Genomic DNA, 27,555 nt, shown 5'->3' on the forward strand with positions numbered 1-27,555 from the left:
CCACTGCAGTACTGTGCTGGCAAATGCTTAACAGACTGGTCTCCAAAAACATGTGCATGTATTTATATGGACACATTTATTTTCAATTTTACTGATATAAAAGATATGCAGCACACAATGGTAATAACATATACAATACAGTAATAAATATATATCATAAAATACACAATTATACACTTAATAAAGCACATAGGAATAAAATCTGTAATACTCTTCATTGTAAATTCCACTGAGCCACCTGATTCTCCCAGAATGCTTTCCTAGATTTTTTTTTTTTTTTAATTTGGTCCAACTCTTACATCTGTGACTATTGACTCTAAGGAATAAAACAAAAGTGAAAGAAAGAAGATAAAGATCAATCATGATATAAGCAACTTCTCTGCTGAACTGGACACTAGTTTCAAATACCAGAAGAATATTTACTCAATTTTCTTGTACTATTCACAATATAATGGTTACAGACACAAAATACTAAGTTTAAACTGCAATGTTAAATTTTTTTTCATCACTTTCTCAATGAACAAAACAATAAACCCAGCCCTAATGTGTTGTGTTTGCGAGTGTCCATGGTGTAAATGCTCCCACCAAGGCTAATGTCCAGCCCCCAACATGACATGTGAGCGCAGACACAGTTGGGAACAGATGCGCATGCACAGCACTACCTGGTGTCTCCACCACAGACACAGCAGGTGTGATGGCACAGGCGATGCTAAGGTCAACAGGAAGTGATGAGTTTTGAGTATTTATTACCTTTGCCTTTATTATAATTCATTTAATTATAATGGCGGCAGTTAACAACCAACTTGCAAAATTCCTTAAGAGATGGGTGAGGTAGCCCACACCTGCTGAGGTACAAGGATCGCTTGAGCCCAGGAGTTGGAGACCAGCCTTGGTAACATAGTGAGACCTTGCCTCTACAAAAAAATTAACGAAATTAGCAGGGAGTAGTGGTGCTTGCCTGTAGCCCCAGCTACTTAGGAGGCTGAGGTGAGAGAATCGCCTGAGCCTGGGAAGTCGAGGTTACAGTGAGCCGAGACTGCACCACTGCACTCCAGCCTGGGCAACAGAGCAAGACCTTGTCTCAAAAAATAAAAAAAAAAAAATTAATAAGAGGCTAAGAGCTGGCTCTGGTAGGCCACGGCTCACTACTGAATTCCCAGCATTCAGTACACGAAAGGTGGTGACGGCACTTGTGGAAACACAGCACAGCCCCGCAGTGGCTTCACTCCTGAAGTCTGTGCTCCAAAGGGAATGCAGGCTTTCCCACAGCCGGGCACTGGAGAAACTGCACGTGCAACACGTTATCTTTTCAAAAACGGGGGAAAATGCCATTTTAAAAACTCAGCATACGCTGAAATATAAAATGTTTTCTTGGCCAGGCACGGTGGCTCATGCCTGTAATCCCAGCACTTTGGGAGAGGTGGGTGGATCACGAGGAAAGGAGTTCAAGACCAGCCTGGCCAAGATGGTGAAACGCCATCTCTACTAAAAATACAAAAATTAGGCAGGCGCAGTGTCAGGCACCTGTAATCCCAGCTACTTGGGAAGCTGAGGCAGGAGAATCGCTTGAACCAAGGAGGCAGAAATTGCAGTGAGCCAAGATTGTACCACTGTACTCCAGCCTGGGCGACAGAGTAAGACTTCATCTCAAAAAAATTCATAACATAACATAACATAACATAACATAACATAACAAACATAACATAACATAAAAATAAAATAAAATAAAATAAAAAAGTAAAATAAAGTAAAATAAAATAAAATAAAATAAAATAAAAAAGTTTTAATACATTCTCCCTGAGGTACTTCTTCCACAGAAACACTTAGGTAGCAGGGAAGCGCATTTTAAATCCTTCAACAGTCTGACTGGGTTTAGCACCCTGGGTGGCGTTAGTCACAGGGTATTCCTTAAAGCTTGTGAGCTCGGCTCCTCATCTGGAAAGGACAGAGTCCAAAAAGTACCTCAGAAACGAAGGACCTTGGGCTGAGGCCACAGCCTGGGAATGCCTCTGGGCCCCATGGGTCTCTTCTAGCTCAGCAGGTCTCTCTCATTCTGTCTACTGTTTTTTCTTTTTTTAGAGAAGGGGTCTCACTTTGTTGCCCAGGTTGGTCTCTCCCGCCTCGGCCTCCCAAAGCGCTGGGATTACAGCTGTGACCCACCGCGCGTGGCCAAATCTGTCTCTTCTCACACTGCTGCACCACCTTCCCTTCAACCTCCTTGGGTCTTCACCCCTCCCCATTTCCCTGGGACCCTCCCTGCACCCCCCTAGGCTGGCTTTGGCCCTTGGCTTCCCAGCATCCTTCCCACTCTTTTAACAACCAAGGGTCTTAATTTCACCTGCTGCTGTCACTAGTAACTCCTAAGTCCACACAGGACTATGGGCACACTCATCTCTACCTATTATCCTCATGACAGAACCCTGTGCGCCCCAAGGATGGAGACCATCTCTACCTATTATCCTCATGACAGAACCCTGTGCGCCCCAAGGATGGAGACCGGCAGTGTCCTTCAGACTCAGCTGCACCTCCAAACTCTGACTCTGTACTCCCAAGTACAAGGCTGAAGCTAAATCTGCCTCCTCAGAGTCTCCACATGGCTTACCTCCCTAGAAGGCAGTGCTGCTTGTCCCACACCAGGTCTTCTGGTCCACGCCTCTTCTCCGTCCCCAGTTAGTACCCTGTCCTCACCACCCCACCCTCCAGTGGACACCATTCCACACTGCCCGCCACACCTTCATCCTCTCTGGACACCTTCACACCATGCCACTTCCTATGGAAGAACCCTATGCTAAAGGTGCCCTATCAGACTCCGAGAGAATATTCTTGTTCCCAGGAAACAGACACTGAAGGATTCAGGAGTCAAGGGAGACACTTTCACTAATTTACAAATTGTTCTGGGAAAAAAATTCAAAGAGAAGAAAAAAATATGAAAAAGTAAATGGGGCAAAACGCAAATCATCGTGACTCTAGGTGAAGGGTAAATAGGAACTCGTGTACTATTCTCAAACTTTTCTGAAATTATACCAAAATAAAGCTATCCCCAAAAAATCCAAACCCTCACCTTATCGTCAAAGTTCAACAATCAACAGCTCTTCTTAGAAGCCACTCCTGCCAGGCAAGTTCCATCTATCTGACATCTTGTTTCTGCCCCACTCTCAACACCTAGACTCAGGATTTCCCTGGTCCCTCCCTGCCAACCCACTTCCTCCACTGCCCTGAGAGCCAGTTCCTGACTCACTTCTTCCAGGGGTGCTGAGGAAGGAAAGGAACTAACATTCCCCAACCACCTGCTGCCAGCCAGGCCAACACTGCGCTCGACACATACCATACAGTGTTTCACCTAATCCTGCGAACGCCTCTGCGAGGAAGGCCTCCCTGGAGACTCGGAGAGATAAAGACACTGGTCCAAGATTACGCAGACACCGATGCAGAGCTGGAACAGGGACCCAGTGGCCTGTGCCACCCACAGCATTGACCCACACCTCACTGCTCCCTGACGCCTTCCCAGACCTCCCCCCCACCCCCCACGCCCCACCCAGTCACTTGGTCAGTGAACACAGATGGGCTGCTTTGCCCCAGGTCCTGCTCTAAATGCTTAGGGATCTGTCAGAGAACAAAACAAACAGGGTTTCTGACTTCATGAAGCTTCCATTTTTGTGGGAGGAGATGGACAATAAAAGCTGTATTTATTAAACGCTTATAGCACTGACTCCATGGCAGGTGTTATGCTATGCATTTTATAAATATAAATTCATTTGATCCTCACAAAAATTCTGAGTTAGGTATTGTTCATACAAATGAGGAAACCAAGGCAAAGGGGTTAAATAATCCACCCAAAGCCACACGAGTAGCAAGTGGTGAAGCCACAACTCAACCCCAGGCAGCCTGGCTCCAGAGCCCAGGCCCTCCACCTCTCAGTAAGCATGAGTGAGCAACACAGCATGCTAGAGGGTGAGTGCCCCGGAAAAATGGAGAGTAAAGCAGAGTAAAGGGAATCCGGAGCACGGAGGGAAGGAGACACACTGACATTTTAAACTGGGAGGCATGAGGATTCCCAGAGGAGCTGACATCTGAGCAAAGCCACGCAAGAGTTGAGGGAGTCTGCATGCAATATTGCAGGAAAGAGTGTTTCAGGGAGGGGGAGTCTGTCCCACAGTCCTGAGGCAGGGTGTGCCTGGAGCACGGGAGGAAGGTCCGGCCAGGGAGGGGACAGCCCCTGCCTTTTGTGCAGCAGAATGCCCGAGCGTGCTGCGTGCCCGATTCCCTGCCTCCCTGGTGGGCCGTGCTGCTCTTTCAGTATTCACCTTGACTTCCAACATGAACCGTGAACTCTGAGAACAGAGCCCGTAACCTCTACTCCCTCTGCTTGTCCCTGGTACTTTCAAGCTGATGTTTGCTGGATCTGTCTGCCTTGCCTTGCAGATTCCACAAAACTACAAGGTCCGGGAGGATGAGCAGGTCCTGCCAGGGAAGCTTCTGACACCTCTGTCACTGGTCCTCCTACACTAGTGGTGAGCAGTAGCCTCTGCCTGGGGCGGGGAAGCAGAAGTAAATGGCGCTTGTATTCTGTATTTTCAAAGCATGCCTGCCCAATTCTATATTCAAATTTTATTCCCAGTAGGCCCCTTTAAACTGGTAGGCAGCCAATTCCACCCTACTTGACAAATGGCAAAATCATCAGGTAACTCACCTGAACTCACTGTGCAGCAGCAGAATCGAGGCTTTCTCATCTAGACTGGGAGATCAGAGTCTGCAGAGGCCACTCGCATCTTCACCCTCCTTTAGGACCCACCCACCTTCTCTCAGGCCCAGCCCCAGGCCCTGCAGAACTCATGACTCTTGAATTTCAGATGTGCTGGGACACAAGAATCACTCTTGTTTTTTGTTTTGTTTTGTTTTGTTTTTGAGACAGTCTCACTCTGTCGCCCAGGGTGGAGTGCAGTGGCAGCAATCTCGGCTCACTGAAACCTCCGCCTCCTGGGTTCAAGCAATTCTCTACCTCAGCCTCCCAGGTAGCTAGGATTACAGGCACCCGCCACCATGCCCAGCTAATTTTTGTATTTTTAGTAGAGATAGGGTTTCACCATCTTGGCCAGTCTGATCTTGAACTCCTGACCTTGTGATCCACACACCTCGGCCTCCCAAAGTGATGGGATTACAGGCGTGAGCCACCTCGCCCGGCCACAAGAATGACTCTTAAGAGGTCCGTAATGACTGGTCCGGGCACAGTGGCTTATGCGTGTAATCCCAGCACTCTGGGAGGCCAAGATGGGCGGATCACCTGAGGTCAGGAGTTCGAGACCAGCCTGCCAACATGGTGAAACCCTGTCTCTATTAAAAATACAAAAATTAGCCAGGTGTGGTAACACACGCCTGTAGTCCCAGCTACTTGGGAGGCTAAGGCAGAAGAATCGCTTAAACCCGGGAGGCAGAGGCTGCAGTGAGCCAAGATGGTGCCACTGCACTCCAGCCTGGGCAACAGAGCGAGAATCTGTCTCAAAAAAAAAAAGAGGTAAGTAATGACCGAACAGTACAGGGTCCCGATCCCATCTAAGTAGGCTGAAGGCAAAGACTGAGCATTTAGTTAAGTCACAGAGAATTTAGCTAAACGCAGTGAGTCACCCACTTCACACAGAGAAAAATGCATCCCTCTACTCCTGTCTCATCACGCACAGAATGCCCAGATTTCTTTCCCATAGTTCCCCTTGAACTATGCAGGCTACTCATAAGGAATTAAGGAATATGCATCAGACACTTCCCTATTTCTAGTTTCAGTCTTTTAAGTAGCCAAAAGAAAATGCCTTTTTGTCCTACATCAGAAATGGTAGGATACCTCTTTTCTCCCATTTATTTCCAAAGTAGATTACACCAATTTAATTCCATTTTATTTTCTAGAGTAAGCATACAAAAAAATCCATCCTGGAAGAATCATTTTCGACTGGCGTGGTGGCTCACATCTGTAATTCCAACGCTTTGGGAGGCTGAGGCAGGAGAATCATTGAGACTAGGAGTTCGAGGCCAGCCTGGGCAACACAGCGAGACCCCATCTCCACTAAAAATAAAAAAAAAATTGTCCAGGCATAGGGGTGCATGCCTGTAGTCCCAGCTACTCAGGAGACTGAAGAAGGAGGATTGCTTGAGCCCAGGAGTTCCAGGCTGCAGTGAGCTATGATCATGCCACCGCACTCCAGCCTGGGTGACAGAGCAAGACCCTAACTCGAAAAAAGAAAAAGAAACAAGAATAATCATTTTCCACAGACTGACAGGCAATGGAGGAGAGGAAAGCTGAAAGAGAAGGTGTTTGGAACTGTAACTGAGCGGCTGTTCTGTTCAGGAGATGGCCTTCCTCCTGGAGGCAGCAGGGACTGGCAGGAGCTTTGTGAAGGAAAGTACGGTCCCCGCCCTCTGCAGCTTAGATGCTCAAGACAAGTGATCGGTGAGCCCTAGGCCTGCTCTCCCTCTAGGCCACTGCTGGGCCTTCTGCCCCCTGGGCAGCCTAGCATGCGTGCTGGGGAACCGCTGCAGGTGTGTGGGTGCAGAGACGGGCAGGTACCTACCCACCTGTATGGAACAGCTGCCACGTCACTATTTACCTATGGCAGGTACTCCGAGCAAGAGCAATTGGAGAGATGCTAGCTTCAAAGACAGAAACAGCACTGTCACTGGGAACTTTCTCGATCACTGTCCTGTGGTGTGGACAAGAACATCCTTATTCTTCATAAACCCACACTGAATTATTTAGGGTAAAGGGGCACAATGTCTTCAATTTTCAAATTGGTCTGAAAAAAATGCATCTACACACTGGAAGAATGATAAAGCAAATGGGGTCAAACGATCAAATCTAATAAATCCAGGTAATAGATGGGGAGTGCCTGCACTCCTCCTGCAACTTCTCTGTAAACAGGAAATTATATCAAAATAGAGTTGCCCTAAAGGTGGCTACCTGTGGCTCCACAAACAGGCGGGCAGGCTGCCCCAGTCACAGCAGGGGGCACCTGCTGCCCAGAACACCCGAAGCCAAGGCAGCAGAGAAACCGGCACAGCACTGCCCCCAGGGAGACATGGGGACAGCTAACAATGCTGATGGAAGTCTGCGAGCATCCGATATCTCTTGGGTTTTTCTTCAGAACCAAGTCATACTCCTGGCACTTGGAAAACAAGGCCAGCTTTACCAACAGGGGGCTGGAAAGGCACCTACCCAGCATTATCCGGGGCGCTGCCCTCTCCTTATCCTTTCTATCTTATCAGTGTCCTCTTCTCAAAATGTATCTGGCATCAGGTCCCTTCCACTCCACATCCACTGCCAACATCCTGTTCCAGTTCCTTGTCATGTCACACCTGAATCATCCCCATCTGCCAGGGGTGGGCACACCACCACCCACACGCCAGATCCAGCCTGCAGGCCAAAGAATGGTGTTTACATTTCTGGGTTTTTTTTGGTTTTGTTTCCTGAGACGGAGTCTCACTCTGTCGCCCAGGCTGGAGTGCAGTGACGCGATCTTGGCTCACTGCAACCTCCACCCTCCGAGTTCAAGTGGTTCTCCTGCCTCAGCCTCCCAAATAGCTGGGACTACAGGCGCCTGCAACCGCGCCCGGCTAATTTTTTTGTATTTTTAGTAGAGACGGGGGTTTCACCATCTTGGCCAGGCTGGTCTTGAACTCCTGACCTCGTAATCCACCCGCCTCAGCCTCCCCAAGTGCTGGGATTACAGGCATGAGCCACCGCGCCTGGCCTGGTGTTTACATTTCTAAAGGGCTGGGGAAAAAAATTAAAAGGAAGCTATTTTGTGACATGTAAAAATGACATAAAATTTAAGTTTCAGAGGCCACAAATAAAAGCATTACTGGAATCCAGCCACAGCTATCCACTTCTGTGCTCTCTGTGGCTGCCTTCACACAACAGCAGAGGGGAGCAGCCGCGGAGTCCAACCAGCTCATGGAACCTAAAACATTTACCTTCCGGCCTTTTACAGAAACAAATTTGCTGACTCCTCCCCGGCTGATCTTGCTTGACTCAGTTCTCCCGCCTCCACAAGATTAACTGACCTAAAACTCGACTTCCGCCGTCGCTCTGTGTTCAAACCCCCGGCAGGTTCCCCGATGCCCATAAAGCCCACACTGTACCCTGACATCCATTTGACCAGGAGAATAAACAAGAAAGCCCTCAACGCCATGCCTTTGCTCATGCTGTTCTCTGCCTTTCAGGAAGCCCTTCCTGCCTTCCACCGCTAAGCCTGCCGCTACCTTACCTTGCCCTTGCAGTCAGGGCAAGGCTCTGGGAATGCTCCCAGCTCCCTGTGCTCTGCTCCCACAGCTCCCTATACTTACCCTCATCATAGCTCTTACCACACAGCGCTGAAATCAACTATTTGTGTGTCTGTCTTGCCAGCTGCAGCAAGATCCCAGAGGGCAAGGAATACATCTTATTTATCTCCCACCACCCAGACAGAACCCGGTACAGCAGCTCATCAATGCTGAAGGCAACCCCAGCCTGGCCAGGCTGGCCTCCTCGCTGCCCCTGAATGCATGCTGCTCACGCTCAACCCTGAGCCTGCGCTCACCCCAGCACCCCCACATCTCACTTAAGACAATCCTACCATGGCCTGAGCACAGTTCAAATTGCATCTCCTCCGTAGGCCCACAGAAGTCAACATGGTCACAGGTTCAAACCCCCAACTCCTCTCACCCATGTGCCAAGTGCCCTTGCACAAGATGCTTCTGTCTCTGGGTCCTCATCTGTAAAGAGGGAATGACTCAGTATCCCCTAACTTGCAGGGCTGACAACGCATATAAAGCTTCTGAACCAGTGCTTGGCATATAATAGATTTTCAAGAAGTAATAGTTAGCATGCTTGTTTTCCCGAATCACACCATCTATGCCTATTTCATCCCTTTTCTTCCCCATAACTGTTGTGTATATTACCCTGGCTCTCCTGAGGCAGGTTTGTCATGAGCAGAGACAAGGTCGTAGTACACTTTCATGAAGCCGCCCCTGCCCTAAAACCCAGGGCAACACAACACGTGGAAAAAGGGACCAACGGATACAACTTTAATAAATAAGTTATTTCAGGAGGCTTAAAGAATTGCTAATAAAAAAAAAATGCAAAGCCCCAGGGGATCAGGAGTGAGCTAGAGAGCAGGCTTTTGCAGATGCTTTCATATTGATGAGAAAGGCAGTTAGAGAGCGGGAGCAAGCGGGATGAGGAGGGGACCAGCAAGATAGGAAAGAACTCCCCCTTGGAGGGCACTGTTCATTCTCACCCATCCAAACACCGCAAAGAAACCTGTGCTGACTCACTGGATAGTCTGGACCCAGCATGCTCCCCTGAAGACTGTCTCTGGATGACAGGAAGCCCCAAGCCTCAGAATTCCATTCCAAGTTTCATGAGCACCAGTCAGTGACAGTACCAGCTGATGCGTGGGGTGCTCACTGGGTGCTTACCACGTGCTGGGAGGATTCTAAATGCTTGTGACCATACAAGGTGAGTAGGACTGTTACGCCCTTCATTGCACAGATGAGGAAACTGAGTCTCGGGAGGATAAGGAACACACTCCCGGTCACACACTCTAGTAACCGGTATAGTACAGCACAGTCGGGTTCCAGAGTCCAAACTCTTAACCACAACACAGTTTGAGTGTCTTACTCTGATTTAGCTCCACCATTTACCGGGTGAGAGATCTCAGGCAAGTCATCTAACCTCACTGCGCCTCATCTTTCAAGTGGGCCTCATACGGGTAACTCTGTAAGATTGTCATGAGGATTGAAGGCGATCATGCCATGACACATATTATGAAGCGGACTCCTGAGAAATCAGTTCTCTCCCACTTTTCCCATATCCCAATATAAGTGAGGTTTTTAGCCAAACCCCTTGACCTCTTTTACTACTGGGAATGATCTATATGCCCTGCTGGATTTTCTTGCCTGCCTGTGCCTAAGCATTTGGACCTCATAAAAGCTTACAAAAATGGCCTGGAGACAAGCATTAAAGGAAAGCAACTGCACACGGAGCTGAGTGGGGCAGCGCAGCAGAGATGGTCCACACGGCTCCTGGCGTGCAGATGAATACTGCATGAGCAGAGGCTGGGCCAGCCAGGCCCTGCCAGGACGTGCCACAACTGACAGCCCGTGACAGCACCTAGATCCATGTGCCGCACCAACAGGCCCAGATGACAGGCCTGGGAGGCTGCAGGCAGAGCCAGGAGCACCTGTGCCTCTGAGCCTGCGTGTGTGTAAGTGCTGTAGGGGGACAAAGAGGGGCAGGCAGGTGAAAGTGACAGGCAGTCATTCCCACCAATGGTGGGATATCAGACTGCCTAAAATATTGTCTATAGCAAGGTAAATTTTTAAATTCCTACAGAAGGAATTGTTGCAAAATTCTTTTACTGTGAAGAATTTAATTTCAAGTCAAGACGTACAGATACACACTAGTTTATTTTGAAGATAAATCCACGTTTCCATACATCAATTTTGCCTGAAGGGTAAGAGACACCTTAAAGCCATGAACCCTTCCCCTGGGCTGGTGGTCATGCACAGAAGGAACTTGTCATAAGCAGCATGTAAAAGTGTCCTTCATGTTAGCCAGTCAGCTATATTAATACAGCAGGAAGCAGAGATCAGGTGTTTAACTCATTTATAGAAGACATAAGTAATTTCTATTTGAATGGACCTGATCAAATGGAACCAAAGGTCTTAGAAAATAAAAGGTTAAAACCCAAGCAAAACGGTATCTCACTCATCATATCCAGTAGTAAGAAGTCCTATTAGGCCTTTTCCCACAACACGTCAGCTTCCAAATACAGCACATGACAAAGAAATACTTCAGGGAGATGGAGGAATGGGGGGCTCGCTACTGTGCTGGCTAATGACATTATTACAAGGCTCCAACCAGCTTCGAGGCCGTGGTAGACACAGCACCGTGGTCCTAGGGTTAGAAAGGAGCCGTAGAAGCAGCATGAACAATCTAATGCCCAGAGCATGGATGAGGCGCCTCCATGCCCAGGACTGCTCCCACCCACCGTTGCTAGAGCACCTAGGAAAGGGCACAGACTGCAAAACCCTCCTCTAGGAAGGGCTGCCCAGTCCACTTGGGGCACCTATATCTCTCGATGAGTAGCTGGGCAAGGACAAGCACATTGAGAGCACCAGCTCCAAAGTGGTGACGGGCCCAAGGGCAGCCTGCAGGCAAGGGAAATGGTCCCAGCCTTTCCTGCAGCCAAAGTGCAGGGCTGGTCCTCAGGAAGGAGTTGCAAAATGATCCTGTTTGCAAAACACAAACATTCCACAAACAGCAGACACAGGGGGTAGGCAAATTCTAGAAATTCTCAATCTTATGTGCAAGAAATAAAACCAAATCAAGAATATTTTACTAGTTGGCATAAATTTGCTTAGCACTCTACGTCCAGGGCTTCCTGGCCAGTTAAATCCAGGTTACTGCACTTGCATGGCTGACAATGCATCCAACCCCTTAGAAATATCAACCTCTTGCAGACACAGGCTGTCTTACCACGTGGCACTTACATACAACAGATGCTCAATAAATGTGCTGAAAAAAGTCAGTGTGTAAAGGATTCCTGAAGTAGGAATCCCCCCTGCTCCCTGGCTCCCTGAGGGTGGTTGAGGCCCAGGGGCTTGTTTGTATCCCCACCCCTCACTAGGGCCTAGCACGGTGCTCACTAAACCCGGAGGCCGCCAATTCAAGCTACCACCTGTGAATTTCTTCCCTGCCTCATACTGTCTTTTTCTGCCCCATTCCTCTTCCTTTTGCTCCCTGAACATTTATCTCACGGGATTTGGAGTCATTAGCTATGCAAATTATTGGGTTTATGGCCCTTTACCTCACTGGAACAGCTTCCCTGCTGTAAAATGGGGTGAAAGGACTCTACCTGAAGACTAGAAATGATGTGTGCGCAGTCTGGCCACGGTAAGGCGAAGCGATCACTGTTATGACTTTCTTATATAATTGTCCACAGGCCCCACTGTCTAAAGGTACTTAGAATACCAAAAGCAGAAAGTTTATTTGTTTTTCCTACCCATGCAAGGGTGGTTTTGAGAAAGCCTATCTGTTTTGGAAAGAAACTGACCCAAGCCCATGTCACTAGTTAAAATATTTCCTTTTTCCTTTTTCACAGGGAAATGAATGACTCTGACTACTCATGGCCAAACTGGGTAAAAGGTTCTGTTCCATAAGTTCATGTGCCAATTATACACAGTGATTAGGATTCCCAGATGGCTTTTTTTTTTTAATTTTACTTTAAGTTCCGGGATACATGTGCAGAACGTGCAGGTTTGTTACATAGGTATACATGTGCCATGGTGGTTTGCTGCACCTGTCAACCTGTCATCTAGGTTTGAAGCCCCGCATGCATTAGGTATTTGTCCTAATGCTCTCCCTCCACTTGCCTTCCTCCACCCCTGGCCCAGCTCATTCTCTTAAAAGAATCATCACAAAGGAGTTTAGCTGGGGCAATAATGGATCTGCTTGGGTTCCACAACTTGGGAATCAGAAGGAAGAGAAGGGCTTCTTCATCTTTTCCAGGAGCAGGGCAGCCCTCAGCACTCTCTGGATTCCCAAGGCACAGCCCCCAGGTTCCTGAACACACAGTGTCTTAAGTGCCCCCCGGGAAGCCCCCCTGCGCCCACACTCTCCTCCCAGTGCTTCAGAATTACCTCCTGACTCTGCCCCCTGAGAAGCAGGCCAGGAATATTTCAAGGAATATGCCAACTAACCTCAATGCACCTCTCCTGGCACTTCAGAGAGAGAACTCAAGAGTGAAGAGAGGGAAATATGGAGGAGGGGTCTGAAGACAGGAAGCGGTGACCCCCCAGGACGGAGGTAACCCCGTGGAATATGCCCAAGTCAGTTGCCCTCAACTGGTCTGTGACACCACAAGTCCAAAACCCAATGCCTTCATCTAAATCCTGACGCCACCACTTGTTTTAGCCCTCTGTGCCCCACTTCCTAGTGTGAAAAGCAGGGATCATAACAGCACCCCGTCTGTCCGCTGTGGTGAGGACTGAGCGCGTTAAGACACGTGGGCACTCAGGACAGTGTGGCATGGCCAACAGTCTCTAAGCATCTCTGATGCTGCCATCGCTGCTGTGCTCATCAGCGCCAGGTGCTGCTCTCCCACCCCTGTCCCTGTCCCATCACAGCCTGACAATTCTCAGCCACAACAAGGAGCTTTGTTGGTGGAGGAGGGAGGAATATGGCTAGAACCTCTGTAAGCTGACTTTCTGTGGGCTGGGGACAGTCCACGCTAAAGGGTAGCTGCCATTCCCCTGGGGGCTCCAGGTGCCAGGAGTGAGCACTCTGCATCTTCCCCCTGACCAAGCTGCTCCTCCTCTCTTGGCTTCCAACACTGGCACTGGCCTCCCGGGACCCATGCTACCTCCAGACTTCAACTGGCAACAGAAAAGAGACAGAGGGCTGGGTGCAGTGGGGTGCCTGTAATCCCAGCACTTTGCAGGGATCACCTGAGCCCAGCAGTTCAAGACCAGACTGGGCAACACAGAGAGAGCTTGTCTCTCCACAAAATTTAAAAATTAGTCGGGTGTGGTGGTGTGGGCCTGTAGTCCCAGCTACTCAGGAGGCTGAGGTTGGGGGATGGCCTGGCCCAGGAGGTCAAGGCTGCAGTGAGCCGAGATCATGCCACTCCAGCTGGGGCCACTCCAGCCGGGGCCACAGAGTAAGACTCTGTCTCAAAAAAAAAAAAGAAAAAAAAAGAAGCATGGGCAGGAGAGAAGAGAAGCCTGGGACCCACTAAGGTTTATTTCGCCTTTACACAGGAAAAGTCAATAAAAGCCACTAGTTAACCACAAGGCTGTGCTGTCCATCCCTCTCCTGCCAGAGTTAACCAGACCGAATCTCCTGCCAGAGTTAACCAGACTGAATCCTTCAACAGATATACAATTCAACAGACACCTGCAGACGTGCCTAATGCAGGAAGACTCCTCACTAGATTCCCTCACACATAACACACATGCACTCTGAGCTGGGCGCTAGAGAGACACGGCCTAACAGAACACGAAAAAGATACTGTTGTCCTTGCCAAGGTCCTCACTACTTAGCAGAAGCTCTTGCCCTTCCGCTTCCACCTTTCATCAAGGTATAAGCCAACAGTCTCACTTCTTCTCTCTTCTTTAATCTGATTTCTGTCCTCCCTTTTTCTTTTAAGAGACAGGGTCTCACTCTGTCACCCAGACTGGAATGCAGTGGTGTGATTATAGCTCACTGCAGCCTCAAACTCCTGGCCTCAAGTGATCCTCCCACCTCAGCCTTCTGAGCAGCTGCGACTATAGGTGTACACCACCATGCCCGGCTAATTTTTAAAATTTTTGTAGAGACAGGGTCTCACTATGTTGCGCAGGCTGGTCTCAAACTCCTGGCCTCAAGCAATACTCCTACCTTGGCCCAGCCTCTCAAAGTGCTGGGATTACAGACGTGAGACATTGCACCCAGCCTTTTCTTTAATTTTTTTTTTTTTTTTTTTTTTTTTTTTTGGGACAGTAGGGTCTTGCTCTATCACCAAGGCTGGAATGCAGTGGTGCGATCTCCGCTCACTGCAGCCTTGGCCTCCCAGGCTCAAATGATCCACCTACCTCATCCTCCTGAGTAGCTGGGAATACAAGTGTGCAACACCCACACCTGGCTATTTTTTGTATTTTTTTTGTAGAGACAGAGTTTCACCATGTTGGCCAGGCTGGTCTGGAACTCCTCACCTCAGGTGATCTGCCCACCTCGGCCTCTCAAAGGGCTGGGATTACAGGCATGACCCACCACACCTGGCCTCTTTTCTTTTTTAAAACTGCGGCAATCATCTCTCCTCTGTTGAACTCACCAATGAGAAAAAGTCAATGGGGCCAGGCATGGTGGCTCACACCTGTAATCCCAGCACTTTGAGAGGCTGAGGCAGGCAAATTGTTCGAGCCCAGGAGCTCTAGACCAGCCTGGACAATGTGGCAAAACCCCATCTCTACAAAAAATTTTAAAAATTAGCCAGGCTTGGTGGTGCACGCCTGTAGTCTCAACTACTCAGGCAGTCAAGGTTGCAGTGAACCATGATCGCACCACTGCACTCCAGCCTAGGTGGCAGAGTGAGATGCTGTCTCAATTTAAAAAAAAAAAAAAAAAAAAAAAGGCTGGGCACAGTGGCTCACACCTGTAATCCCAACACTTTGGGAGGCCGAGGCCAGTGGATCACAAGGTCAGGAGATCGAGACCATCCTGGCTAACACGGTGAAACCTTGTCTCTACTAAAAAAAAAATACAGAAAATTAGCCGGGCATGGTGGCAGGTGCCTGTAGTCCCAGCTACTCGGGAGGCTGAGGCAGGAGAATGGTGTGAACCCGGGAGGCGGAGCTTGCAGTGAGCCGAGGTCGTGCCACTGCACTCCAGCCTGGCCCACAGAGCAAGACTCCATCTCAGAAAAAAAAAAAAAAATGCAATCAACTGCAAGGCTTGGGGTGACAGTTTCCTGGTCATTCTTCCCAGTTTTTTTGTGTCTTTATAGCTAGAGATGACTAAAGCCCACCTCCAAGAAAACAGCAAGTCACGTACAACTGAAGCCCATGGGGGCAGGATGCTGTTCTCTCCACCGGGGCAATCCAAGCACCTGAGTGTCTGACACCACCCATCACCCAGGGGATCCGAGCTGAATTCTAAAGACTGGAACCAAAGATGACAGAGTGCGTGGCTGGAGAGAGGGGGAAGTCCACAGAGTTTAGGTAAATTTCTGAACCACATCCCCACCACGCCCACAATGTACTGCATTGAAGTACACCGGAAGCTAAAGACCAAAAAGGAATCAGATTTTCAGCTCTGCCACCTAAAGCAGAAACTGAGGGCCTTATTCACCGCACAGACTTTAGCCCAAGTGCCATGCCTCCAGTTTCACAGTTTCACCAGCAGCTCAAGCAAAATGGCCTGGACACTAAAGATGGCCTCTGGGTCAGAGTATCACTCATTTCCTCTGTCCACAAACCACTTTGATTCTCTTTGATTCTCTCTGTCCCTCATCTCCCCATCTAGTCTTTTTTTTTTTTTTTTTTTTTTTGAGACAGAGTCTTGCTCTGTCACCCAGGCTGGAGTGCTGGAGTGCAGTGGTGTGATCTCAGCTCACTGCAACCTCGGCCTCCTGAGCGCAGGCAATCCTCCCACCTCAGCCTCCAGAGTAGCTGGGACCACAGGTACACACCACCACGCCCAGCTAATTTTTGTACTTTTTGTAGAGATGGGGTTTAGCTATGTTGCCCAGTCTGCTCTCAAACTACTGGGCTCAAGCAATCTGCCCACCTCAACCTCCCAAAGTGTTGGTATTACAGGCATGAGCCACTGCGCCCGGCCCATCTGGTCTTATTAAATACTTCATTCTCTGCAAATGCAGACGTTTTCTCAGCTCTGATTATTTTTTCTAAAGTAATGACCCCCCACCTGGCTAGATGAATGCTTCTAGCAAAGGAAAAGACCAGAATGTGAAAATTGTACTGCAATAGAACATAAAGCCCGTCCAACCCCACCTCCCATCAGACCTGGGGTGGTGGCAGCAGCAGGCGTCAGGGCTCTCAGGCCTGCCCATTAGTCATCCCTAAGGCCCGTTAGCACACGGGTTAGGAGGAGCACACACTCTGGAATCAGAAAGCCCAGGATTGAACCCAGCCCTGCTTTCAGTCAAGGCTTTGTCACTCACTATCACTCCCTTGACCTAGGACCTCACAAAACCTTGTCATCCGTAAAACTGGGGATGATAAGTTCTACCTTGAATGTTGTTGTGAGGAATAAATGAGGTAATGTCTATGCAGCACCTAGCACAGATTCCTGCAGATAAACACTCAATAAATGTTAACTATCATCCACTACCTAGTCATCAGAAAAGCACAATGATCTGGTATCTTTAAGTCCTTCCGCTTCCAAAAAAAAAAAAGAAAAGAAAAAAGAAAAAGATGTGTGGATTTTTTCCCCCTAAAGGTCTCAGTGAAGTGAAACTTAAGAAGGAAAACCTGGGCCGGGTGTGGTGGCTTACGCCTGTAATCTCAGCACTTTGGAAGGCCAAGGAGGGTGAATCACCTGAGGTCAGGAGTTCGAGACCAGCCTGACCAACACGGTGAAACCCTGTCTCTACTAAAAAATACAAAAAATTAGCAGGGCGTGGTGGCAGGTGCCTGTAGTCCCAGCTACTTGAGAGGCTGAGGCAGAAGAATCGCTCGAACCCAGGAGGCAGAGTGCATGAGCCAAGACTGCGCCATTGCACTCCAGACTGGGCGCGACAGAGCAAGAGACTCCGTCTCAAAAAAAGAAGAAGAAGAAGAACCCAATTCAAATCCCAGTTCAGGGACCAACTCATTTGCAACTTAAAGCAAATCATGTTACCTCCATTTCTTTGCCTATAAAATGGGAATAATAGACTCTATTAAACTTTAACGACTTCAGAGACAATTAAGAATCAATGAGATAACAGGTCATGAAAAAGCTTTCACTTCCTCAAGTAAAAAGCAACTAAGTAGTAAATCCAGAGCATAATAATAATAATAATTATTATTATTATTATTTTTTTTTTGAGATGAAGTCTCGCTCTGTATCCCAGGCTGGAGAGCAGTGGCGTGATCTTGGCTCACTGCAACCTCCACCTCCCAATTCCCGGTTAAGCAATTCTCCTGCCTCAGCCTCCCCAGTAGCTGGGATTACAGGCGCGCACCACCACGCCCAGCTGGTATTTTTAGTACAAACAGGGTTTCACCACGTTGGCCAGGCTGGTCTTGAACTCCTGACCTCGTGATCCGCCCGCCTGGCCTCCCAAAGTGCTGGGATTACAGGTGTGAGCCACCGCGCCGGGCCCAGAGCATAATTATTATTAAAATGCCAGGCCCCATAATATTATGGAACATAAATAAGCCAATGATGGCTCTTATTTTTTCTAGAACATTAGATTTGATGCCCTTTTCGTCTGTTCACATGGAACCTGCTACAAGACGGAGAAGGCAAATGGCTGCTCCTAGCAGATCCCAGTTCAGAGGCACGGCCCAGCAAAGCTAGCACTCTGCCAATGGTCAGGCTTCGACCATCTGGGCCACTTCCCAGAAGCCAGTGCCAGGAGAAATTAGGTAATTCATCTGGTTCCACCTGGACATGTGAAACCAACGACAACCAAAATCCTCACCTGCAGGACTACTCGACAGATGCAGGAAAGGGTCCCCTTTGACCCTCTGCTCTTCTGTACTGAATGGTGTACCACTCTTCCAGGGCATGTGCCATCCTTCCTTTAAAGGGCAACACATGATCCAGGAAGAAGAGCTCAATTTTTCCTTATTTTTACTTCTAGGACCAAGACGTGAGTTTCATTTTTAATCTACCACAGAAATGTCTGGAGAGCTGGAAGTTTGAGTGGGAGGAGGAATGGGGGGGACCTCATTACCCTAATTTAAAAACGGAGCATGCAACCAAAACTGCATCCAATATCATCATCCCCAGGTCTCTCAAACCCAAGGAAGAGAGGAAAAATTTACTTTTATGTTTATTGAACATCTGCTACGTGCCAAGGACTGTGCTAAGTTCTTCACGTACATTATTTCCAAAGCCCATTTTCTCTTCCACACCTAGTAACACCATGGAATAACCACCACGGAACAGGATCATCCCAGGTGGGGGTTTGGGGGGAGGAATTACAATATGCAGTCAAGTTTAAGACGTTTCAAATGTTAGCGCTGTAAACACAAATAAACAGCCTTGACTGAGGAACCAGGTCTGAGTTCTAAAGTATCCTTTACAGGAGGAACACACAAACCATGTCTTTCCTATAATTATGAAATTAACTCAAGCTGTTGAATACACTATAAAAGAGATTTAAAACTTCTAAACCTGGAGCACAAGAAAAACTCACTATAAGACTTGAACAATCTGGGGCTGGATTTCTGACCTGAGAAGTACATCTGGCAATCAAATATGGAATGAACGGCATCCTCTGAGAGGGCTGCAGAGATGTGCTCACGGGAGAAGGTAACCACAATGAACTGGCCTGTGTGCGGCCAGGTAACCAGAAGGCGGGGCTTTCCCGCAGGCGGCAGCGACTGTAGGAAGATGTCTTTCTCAGCTTAAAACCCAGTTCATCCTCATCCCTGGAGTACAACGACTGTCTATGGAGCAAAGTGTCAGATGGGACCAAATACACATTGGTGGCCTGATATTCAAATGTCATCCTCTCCATGCACATCCCACTAAAAACAAGCTTAGGGGGAAAAAAAAAAAAAAAGCTGTCCACCTGTCCACAGTTGACCTTCATTCCTCTACATCAACCCGTTTCACATAAATCACAATTAACATCTGCATTAAACACCATTAAAAGAACACAAATGTGGTTTGAACTCTTGGACATACTTTCTCTGCATTCAGAGTCAGGAAGACCAGCCAAGATACGGGGCTGGTCCCCGCCCCTTAACGGGATGCGGCACAGAGGCCTTGCCTGAGGGGCCTGCCAGACCCCTTCGTCCCGGCTACCTACTGAGCAAGCGGGGTGGCGGCTCACCAGTGCCGCATGCCAGGCGGAGGGTCTCGCTGCGGCTGGCTTTCTGCTAGGCCAGGCAAGCCCGGTTCCGTGTAGGGCTCCTCAAGATGGTTTCTTAGCTGGGAATTTCCCATGTGCCCCGGAGACCTCCAAAAGCGCGGTCCCCTCGGAAGGCAGCCAGGGAAGGGGCATCACTGAGACTAGAGGCGAAGGCGGCTGCGATCGCCCGGCCGCGCCCACCGCCCCCACAAACGGAAAGGCGCGCCGGGGTCCTCTCGGCCACCTACCTGCCAGGGTCGCAGGAGCCCACGCTTGGCGCACGCTAGCTCCAGGCCGGGGCAGCGGGACGGGGAGGCCCCGAGGGCCAGGCCGCGGAGGCAGGACCCGGCGGAGCCTCGGCCCGGAGCCTGCGGACTCCGGTAAAGACAGAGACCTCCCCCGCCCCAAAAAGCACCCCCCGACCCCGCACCCAGAGCCGGGCTAAGCCCCCACCCTCCGCCTCCCGCCTGAAGCGGGCAGCCTCCCCGCGCTTCCCCGCGCCTGCTGCCCCGGAACTCAGGACCAGCCGGCGCACCTGGCCACGCATCCTCCGGCGGGAGGTGACCACACGGGAACGCGAGGCGGGGGCTTCCTCGCGCCCCGCCGGCCGGACGCAGGGTTATAAGCGCAGCCGGAAGGAGGCGCCCGCGCCGCGGCGGCTCCCGGCTTCGGCACTGCCCGGGCGGGAGGCTCGGCGCGCGTCCGCTCGCGGGGCCACCCGCTCCAGAACCGCCCGCCGGAACCAGCCCGGTGCCCGAGACCCCGAGCTCGGGCGCGAGCAGGATGCGGCTCCCCGGGGACGGTTGGCGCGGGTCGGAGTCCCGAAGCCCCGTTCTTACCTCTGCCTCATACTGCGGTGTCCCTCGGCGCCGGCGTCGCTGTGGCGGGCCAGTGCCGCCCTGTTCCGCAGCCCGAGCGTCCGGCGCGGTAGGTAGCAGCCGGAGAAGCGGCGCAGCCGGGGGATGGGCGGGCACATGGAAGGGCGGGGGTTGTGGCCCTCGGGCCGGACCACGGGACCCCAGCCTCGGGGGCGAGATATCTCAGTACACCTCGAAAACTGGCAAGCGGCCCCCGTCCTCAGGGACTCCATTGCTACTTGCACGCTCAGTCTTGCCAGAATCTCACGGGATATGTGCAAAAGGCAAAGAAATAAGCTGTCGCCACGCCCTTCGTCCTCTCCGTCCCCCTGCAGGATCCATATGGTACATTCCTCAAAGCCCAACGGGAGACGGGAAAGAACTGATTGGTTGGGAATCTTGGAAGGGGCGAGAAGCCACATGAAGTGGCCAATGGAGAAACCCGGTGGGCATATCAAAGCCTGCCCCCGGAGAGAAGAGAGGATGTATTTAAAGGGGACTTGTTGGCCGGGCGCGGTGGCTAACGCCTGTAATCCCAACACTTTGGGGAGCCGAGGCATGCGGATCACTTGAGGTCAAGAGTTCAAGACCAGCCGGGCCAACATGATGAAACCCTGACTCTACTGAAAATACAAAAATTAGCCGGGCGTGGTTGCACGGGCCTGTAGTCCCAGCTACTCTGGAGGCTGAGGCAGGAGAATCACTTGAACCCGGGAGGCGGAAGTTGCAGTGAGCCGAGATGGTGCCACTGCACTACAGCCTGGGCAACAGAGCGAGACTCCATCTAAAGAAAGAAAAAATAATAATAAAGGAGACTTGTTTGTTGCTCTTAGTTGCCGCAAAATGAAACTAGGATTTTCATTCTAGTTGGGAAGCAAAGAGGTTAGGGGGAATTTCAAATTTTTGGAGGAGGGCGCTAAGAGAAAATATAGAGCAGAGGGCGGGCGCGGTGGCACACGCCTGTAATCCCAGCACTTTGGGAGGGAGGCCGAGGCGAGCAGATCACAAGGTCAGGAGCTCGAGGCCGGCCTTACCAACATGGTGAAACCCCGTCTCTACTAAAAATACAAAAAATAGCCAGGCATGGTGGCGCGCGTCTGTAATCTCAGCTACTTAGGAGGCTGAGGCAGGAGAATCGCTTGAACCCAGGAGGCGGAGGTTGAACTGAGCCCAGATCGTGCCATTGCACTCCAGCCTGGACAACAGAGTGAGCCTCTGTCTAAAAAAAAGAAAACGAAAATATAGAGCGAATTGAACCAAATATATCTTGTATGACCTTGAGCAGGTAAGTACAACCCTCGGCCTCAGTTTCATCATCTGGTCCAATGAGGATACTGGAATGCACTTGGTGTCTGATGGCCTTCACACACTTCATGTGTGATCCTATCATCCTTTGCACAGGAATAGCAATACCTGCAAATATTCTTCAACTTTGAGCATTATCCACTATCTTAAAGAACTTTAGGCTGGGCGCGGTGGCTCACGCCTATAATCCCAGCACTTTGGGAGGCCAAGGCAGGCAGATCACGAGGTCAGGAGATCCAGACCATCCTGGATAACACGGTGAAACCCCATCTCTACTAAAGATACAAAAACAAAATTAGCTGGGCGTGGTGGTGGGCGCCTGTAGTCCCAGCTACTCAGGAGGCTGAGGCAGGATAATGGTGTGAACTCGGGAGGCGGAGCTTTCAGTGAGCCAAGATTGCACCACTGCACTCCAGCCTGGGCAACAGAGCAAGACTCCATCTCAAAAAAAAAAAAAAAAGAACTTTAGTTGAAAGTCGATAGACTTTCTGACACCTACTTTCAGCGACAGTATCAACCCCACCTTTGGTAAAGATGAATCCTGTCTTCTTTCTGGGTCCCTCATCTCTTAGAGAAGAATATTCTTCTTATGTGTGGGGCCCTCCACCTCCAAGTAGTTCATAATTTCTACTTCTCCAGGAAGCACCCCTTTCTCTTCCTTCTCCCTTCCTTCTCATAATCAGACAAAACTTCGATTAATAATTCATTCACCCAATGAGCTGTCCACAATTCCTGCCTTCAGCAACAAACCCCACTGCTCACCCCTCCCTAGAGCTGCGAAAGTGCTCGTCCCTAACTCAATCTGTGACAACCATTCAACCACACATGGCCAATTGTGCTTTCATCCACACTACAAGCCAAATTTCAGACTTTCTAACCACTCCTTGGGGTCTGCTCTGTTTTAGAGCTTTACACCAGCCTGCTAGGCTTACAATTTGGCTACCAAGCTTCAGCTCCATCTTCTTTAGTTCAGAACTTTTCAACCTCCCAACAGCTGGTCACCCCACTGCCACTCAACCAGCTTCCAATCACGCAGGGAGTCTGGGATACCCTTTCTTTATTTTTTTTTTTTTAAGATGGAGTCTCGCTGTGTTGCAAGTCTGGAGTGCGGTGGTGCCATCTCAGCTCACTGCAACCTCCGCCTCCCGGGTTCAACTGATTCTCCTGCCTCAGCCTCCCAAGTAGCTGGGACCACAGATACCTGCCACCACACCTGGCTAATTTTTGTATTTTTAGTAGAGACAGGGTTTCGCCATGTTGGCCAGGATGGTCTCGATCTCCTGACCCTGTGATGTGCCTGCCTCGGCCTCCCAGAGTGCTGGGATTACAGGCATGAGCCACTGCGCCTGGCCCCTGGGATAGCCTTTCTAATACCTCCAGATAACTCATCTTCCAACTATAATCCAAAGAGCTCTGGAAAGTGCATCCCTCCATGAAGCCTTCCAGATTGATTGCCAGAAGCTGCTAGCTTACAGAGCTTCCATTTCTACTCTGTGCCTTGCCATAACCCAACTGTCCATGCTCTCTGCCCCAATATACATTTCTTTTTTTTTTTTTTCTTTTTCTTTTGAGACTGAGTTTCGTTCTTGTTGCCCAGGCTGGAGTGCATGATCTCGGCTCACCACAAACTCCGCCTCCTGGGTTCAAGCGATTCTCCTGCCTCAGCCTCCCGAGTAGCTGGGATTACAGGCATGCGCCAACACGCCCAGCTAATTTTGTATTTTTAGTAGGGACGGGGTTTCTCCATGTTGGTCAGGCTGGTCTTGAAATCCCAACCTCAGGTGATCCACCCGCCTCGGCCTCCCAAAGTGCTGGGATTATAGGCATGAGCCGCCGTGCCCGGCCAATATACATTTCTTATTGACATATTTCCCTATCTCCCTGATGGCCACAGCAGCAGCAGCCACAGCTTACATTTATTAAGTGCTCACTATGTGCTAGGTACTGTTGGGAAGTGCTTTGCCCGCATTATTTAACTTCACCCTCATATCAATTCTGTGATGTTCCTTATTATTCGCCTTAGTACCGTTTTGCCTTCCTGAGGAAAACACAAGAGCTTAGTGAAACTGATCTGCCCGAGTGCACACAGAGGTCTGACATCTAGTGCCCCCACCATAACTCCACAACGCAATACTGTCTTGAGTTTCTTAAGAATCTACTGCATGCCAGATGAAAGATAATCTCATATATTTACTTATTTATTTTTATTTTTATTTTGTTTTTTTTTATTTTTTTTGAGGCAGAGTCACACTCTGTCACCCAGGCTGGAGTACAGTGGCGCAATCTCGGCTCACTGCAACCTCTGCCTCCTGATTTCAAGCGATTCTCATGCCTCAGCCTCCCAAGTAGCTGAGATTACAGGCTCGTGCCACCACGCTTGGCTAATTTTTATATTTTTAGTAGAGATGGGGGTTTCGCTATCTTGGCCAGGCTGGTCTCGAACTCCTGACCTCAGGTGATCCACCTGCCTCGACTTCCTAAAGTGCTGGGGTTACAGGCGTGAGCCACTACGCCAGGCCTCATACATTTATATTATGTTTACATTTATTTCTATACCTATAATATCATTTCAGTCTCAAAACAGTCATGTGAGGAGAGTTGGTAGAAGTCTATTCACAGATGAGGAAGGAAACTACAGCTCAGAGAGCATGACCGTTTGGCTAAGGTAGCAAGGCTGGTAAGTAACTGAGCCTGGCTTTCCACACTGCATTCTTTCCATTGCAATTCCTGCCCCCTGCGTGAACACAACCTTTTTACATGTAACAACCAGAGAAGGAGGAAACAAATACAAAATAGCAAAACCTAAGCCACAGGGTTTAGGGAGTGTGGTACAAGGAGTGCTTACAGGGGGCCAGAAAACAAGTCAAAGAAGACTTCTATGAAGGGTGAGATCACTGTGGACTTCTTTATACTGGTTTGTTGTTTATATTCTGCCCATGAGAGTGTGTCTTGGACACATCTGGCAGATTCAATAGCAAAAGGCCACAAAACTGCCCCGTACCGCTGGAGTGCTGGTGGCTAGAATTAGCCCCATGTCAATGAAGAAGGGACTTCTGTGTGCAATGCTGCTGCCGACCAGTTTGGGAAAGTTCTCAACTGGCTGTTTAGCAAACTATCCTGCTCCACCGGCAGTTTTAACACTCCCCTGCAAATACAGGCTGGGCTCATTATTTCTTCTTTTTCAACTGTTGACATCCTCACAGGGTTGGAGAGCCTAGCAAAATTGTGTGGGAGCAGCAAACTTTTAATATTGATTAAGCAGCCTGAACAAGGTGATTGTGAGGCCAATACTTCTGAGTTGTTCTTTGCCAGGTCCAGCCATAGTCAATCAAGTTAATTCTCACTCCCATAGCTCTCTCTTTTCTCATCCCCAGAGAGCTCTAAAATGTCTCTGCTTATCTGAGTGCTTTCTTTATGCATTCAAACATTTATTGGGCACCCACTACAAGCAAAGAACTGGCAGCTTGTGTGGGGTTATCCTGATGGATCCGCACATGAAGTGTGTACTTAGTGCATGGGGTGATTAAATATCAGACCCCCTTCCGTAAGGAAGGAATCTGCCTGAGAACCTCAGAGAGTGCAAGTGGATCCCATCTACGGCGAAATGTAGGTGCTCACGTTGGGAAGTCTGCCCCCCTAGTAGGAGAAGGAGCACTAGGTTGAGAAATGGCCCTGGGTTGGGGAGATGGGCAGTGTCCTGCGGAGGTGGAGAGTGCCCAGAAATAACTGGACACTTAGTAAACAATAGGGAGAATCATCTAATTCAATCCGCAATGGAGCCGGTAGAAGATTTGTGGAATATGCTATCTTATTTTCAATTTAAAAAATATTTTCTGGGCTGGTGACGGTGGCTCATGCCTCTAATCTCAGCAGTTTGGGAGGTCGAGAAGGGCAGATCACCTGAGGTCAGGAGTTTGAGACCAGCCTGACCAACATGGAGAAACCCCGTCTCTACTAAAAATACAAAATTAGCCAGGCGTGGTGGTGTATGCCTATAATCCCAGCTACTGGGGAGGCTGAGGCAGGAGAATCGCTTGAACCTGGGAGGTGGAGGTTGTGATGAGCCGTGATTGTGCCATTGCACTCCAGCGTGGGCAACAAGAGCGAAACTCTGTCACACACACACACACAAAAAAATTCTGATTTCTTTTTTTGTTTTGAGACGGAGTCCCTCTCAGCCACCCGGACTGGAGTGCAGTGGTGCAATCTCTGCTCACAGCAACCATCATCTTCTGGGTTCAAGCGATTCTCTCGTCTCAGCCAACTGAGTAGCTGAGATTACAGGCACCCGCCATCATGCCCGGCTAATTTTTGTATTTTAGTAAAGACAGGGTTTCACCATGTTGGCCAGGCTGGTCTTGAACTCCTGACCTCAGGTGAACTGCCCTCCTCAGCCTCCCAAAGTGCTAGGATTACAGGCGTGAGCCACCGCGCCCGGCCAATTTTCTGATTTCAAAAGTAATACATGTTCATTGTAAAAGAATTTTTTAAATAAAGTACAAAAAATAAAAATACCCATTACGTTCACCAGCATATCATTGTTACCATTTTGATGTATGTGTTTTCTTGTATTTTTCTGTGTACATGTGTCATATATCTTCTTTTTCTGTATTATCTTTTTAACAAAATTTGATCAAACTGCTTTGCAATCTACTTTTCTACTTAATAGGCTAGGAATTTTCCTATGCTATTCTACATTACTTAAAACATGATGGTTTTTTTTTTCTTTTTTAGAGTCAGGGTCTTGTTCTATTTTCCAGGCTGGAGTGCAGTGGCACAGTCATAGTTCACTGCAGCCTTGCACTCCTGGGCTCAAGTGATCCTCCCACATCAGCCTCCCAAAGTGCTAGGATTCCAGGCCTGAGCCACTATGCTCAGTTTTGTTTTTGTTTTTGACTTAAACCAGTTTTGATCAGCTATCTACCACTGGCTAGCAAAGTAAAAAATGCATGATGGGGCCGGGTGCTGTGGCTCACGCCTGTAATCCCAGCACTTTGGGAGGCCGAGGCGGGTGGATCATGAGGTCAGGTGATCGGGACCATCCTGGCTAACAAAAAATTAGCCGGGCATGGTGGCGGGTGCCTGTAGTCACAGCTACTCGGGAGGCTGAGGCAGGAGAATGGCGTGAACCCGGGGGGTGGAGCTTGCAGTGAGCCGAGATCGCACCACTGCACTCCAGCCTGGACGACAGAGCGAGACTCCATCTCAAAAAAAAAAAAAAAAAAAAAAAAAAATGCATGATGGGCTGGGTACGGTGGTTCCCGCCTGTAATCTCAGCACTTCGGGAGGCTGAAGCAGGTGGATCACTTGAGGTCAGGAGTTCGAGACCAGCCTGGCCAACATGGTGAAATACTAAAATACTAAAAATACAAAATTAGCCTGGCATGGTGGCAGCCTGCCTGTGATCCCAGCTACTCAGGAGGCTGAGGCAGGAGAATCGCTTGAACCCAGGAGGTGGAGATTGCAGTAGCAGAGATCGTGCCATTGCACTCCAGCCTGGGTAAAAAGAGCGAAACTCCACCTCAGAAAAAAAAAGCATGGTGCAATAGGAGCTCAGTCCATCCCTTCCAAGCATTCCAAATAGCACACCCGTGACTGCCACCAGTTCAGTTTATCATGAACCCCAAGGGCATTCAGCTTTAAGCAATCTCCAGGGAAATCCCAAGCCATGTGTAGTCTAATGGCCCCCAGGATGCCTGGACTGGCTCAAAAGCCCATCCCATCCTATCCATTGGATGAGAGAGTCAAGAAGGAAGAACAGAGTGGTTTAGAACAAATTGATTCCTGGGCTGCATTCATAGTCCTGTGGACCTACTGAAGACATGAAAGGCTCCATGTTCTTGCCCCTCTTCTACACGAAG

The 27,555-nt window shown here is 49.3% G+C and overlaps 1 protein-coding gene across 1 annotated transcript in view, besides 10 other annotated features; it reads right to left on the minus strand.

The window, feature by feature from the left end:
- MICAL3 (microtubule associated monooxygenase, calponin and LIM domain containing 3) overlaps positions 1 to 27,555 on the minus strand; it is a 236,913-nt gene that overhangs the window by 193,373 nt on the left and 15,985 nt on the right. The gene's annotated exons all lie outside the window — the stretch shown is intronic.
- Positions 10,617 to 11,121: an enhancer, noted in NCBI's record as "H3K4me1 hESC enhancer chr22:18474404-18474908 (GRCh37/hg19 assembly coordinates)". NCBI's record gives its function as "activates a minimal SCP1, AML or CMV promoter by ChIP-STARR-seq in naive H9 embryonic stem cells {active_cell/tissue: H9 hESC(naive)}" and the evidence as "EXISTENCE:reporter gene assay evidence [ECO:0000049][PMID:30033119]".
- Positions 11,122 to 11,626: an enhancer, noted in NCBI's record as "H3K4me1 hESC enhancer chr22:18474909-18475413 (GRCh37/hg19 assembly coordinates)". NCBI's record gives its function as "activates a minimal SCP1, AML or CMV promoter by ChIP-STARR-seq in naive H9 embryonic stem cells {active_cell/tissue: H9 hESC(naive)}" and the evidence as "EXISTENCE:reporter gene assay evidence [ECO:0000049][PMID:30033119]".
- Positions 12,827 to 13,327: an enhancer, noted in NCBI's record as "H3K4me1 hESC enhancer chr22:18476614-18477114 (GRCh37/hg19 assembly coordinates)". NCBI's record gives its function as "activates a minimal SCP1, AML or CMV promoter by ChIP-STARR-seq in primed H9 embryonic stem cells {active_cell/tissue: H9 hESC(primed)}" and the evidence as "EXISTENCE:reporter gene assay evidence [ECO:0000049][PMID:30033119]".
- Positions 13,328 to 13,828: an enhancer, noted in NCBI's record as "H3K4me1 hESC enhancer chr22:18477115-18477615 (GRCh37/hg19 assembly coordinates)". NCBI's record gives its function as "activates a minimal SCP1, AML or CMV promoter by ChIP-STARR-seq in primed H9 embryonic stem cells {active_cell/tissue: H9 hESC(primed)}" and the evidence as "EXISTENCE:reporter gene assay evidence [ECO:0000049][PMID:30033119]".
- Positions 15,420 to 15,619: an enhancer, noted in NCBI's record as "active region_18644". NCBI's record gives its function as "activates an Ori minimal core promoter by ATAC-STARR-seq in GM12878 lymphoblastoid cells {active_cell/tissue: GM12878}" and the evidence as "EXISTENCE:reporter gene assay evidence [ECO:0000049][PMID:35858748]".
- Positions 19,715 to 19,824: a silencer, noted in NCBI's record as "silent region_13443". NCBI's record gives its function as "represses an Ori minimal core promoter by ATAC-STARR-seq in GM12878 lymphoblastoid cells {active_cell/tissue: GM12878}" and the evidence as "EXISTENCE:reporter gene assay evidence [ECO:0000049][PMID:35858748]".
- Positions 19,955 to 20,144: a silencer, noted in NCBI's record as "silent region_13444". NCBI's record gives its function as "represses an Ori minimal core promoter by ATAC-STARR-seq in GM12878 lymphoblastoid cells {active_cell/tissue: GM12878}" and the evidence as "EXISTENCE:reporter gene assay evidence [ECO:0000049][PMID:35858748]".
- Positions 20,155 to 20,534: a silencer, noted in NCBI's record as "silent region_13445". NCBI's record gives its function as "represses an Ori minimal core promoter by ATAC-STARR-seq in GM12878 lymphoblastoid cells {active_cell/tissue: GM12878}" and the evidence as "EXISTENCE:reporter gene assay evidence [ECO:0000049][PMID:35858748]".
- Positions 20,155 to 21,166: a biological region, named in NCBI's record as "H3K27ac hESC enhancer GRCh37_chr22:18484257-18484953".
- Positions 20,470 to 21,166: an enhancer, noted in NCBI's record as "H3K27ac hESC enhancer chr22:18484257-18484953 (GRCh37/hg19 assembly coordinates)". NCBI's record gives its function as "activates a minimal SCP1, AML or CMV promoter by ChIP-STARR-seq in naive and primed H9 embryonic stem cells {active_cell/tissue: H9 hESC(naive and primed)}" and the evidence as "EXISTENCE:reporter gene assay evidence [ECO:0000049][PMID:30033119]".

Source organism: Homo sapiens, chromosome 22 (assembly GCF_000001405.40).
Source record: "Homo sapiens chromosome 22, GRCh38.p14 Primary Assembly".
Classification (NCBI taxonomy): Eukaryota; Metazoa; Chordata; class Mammalia; order Primates; family Hominidae; genus Homo; species Homo sapiens.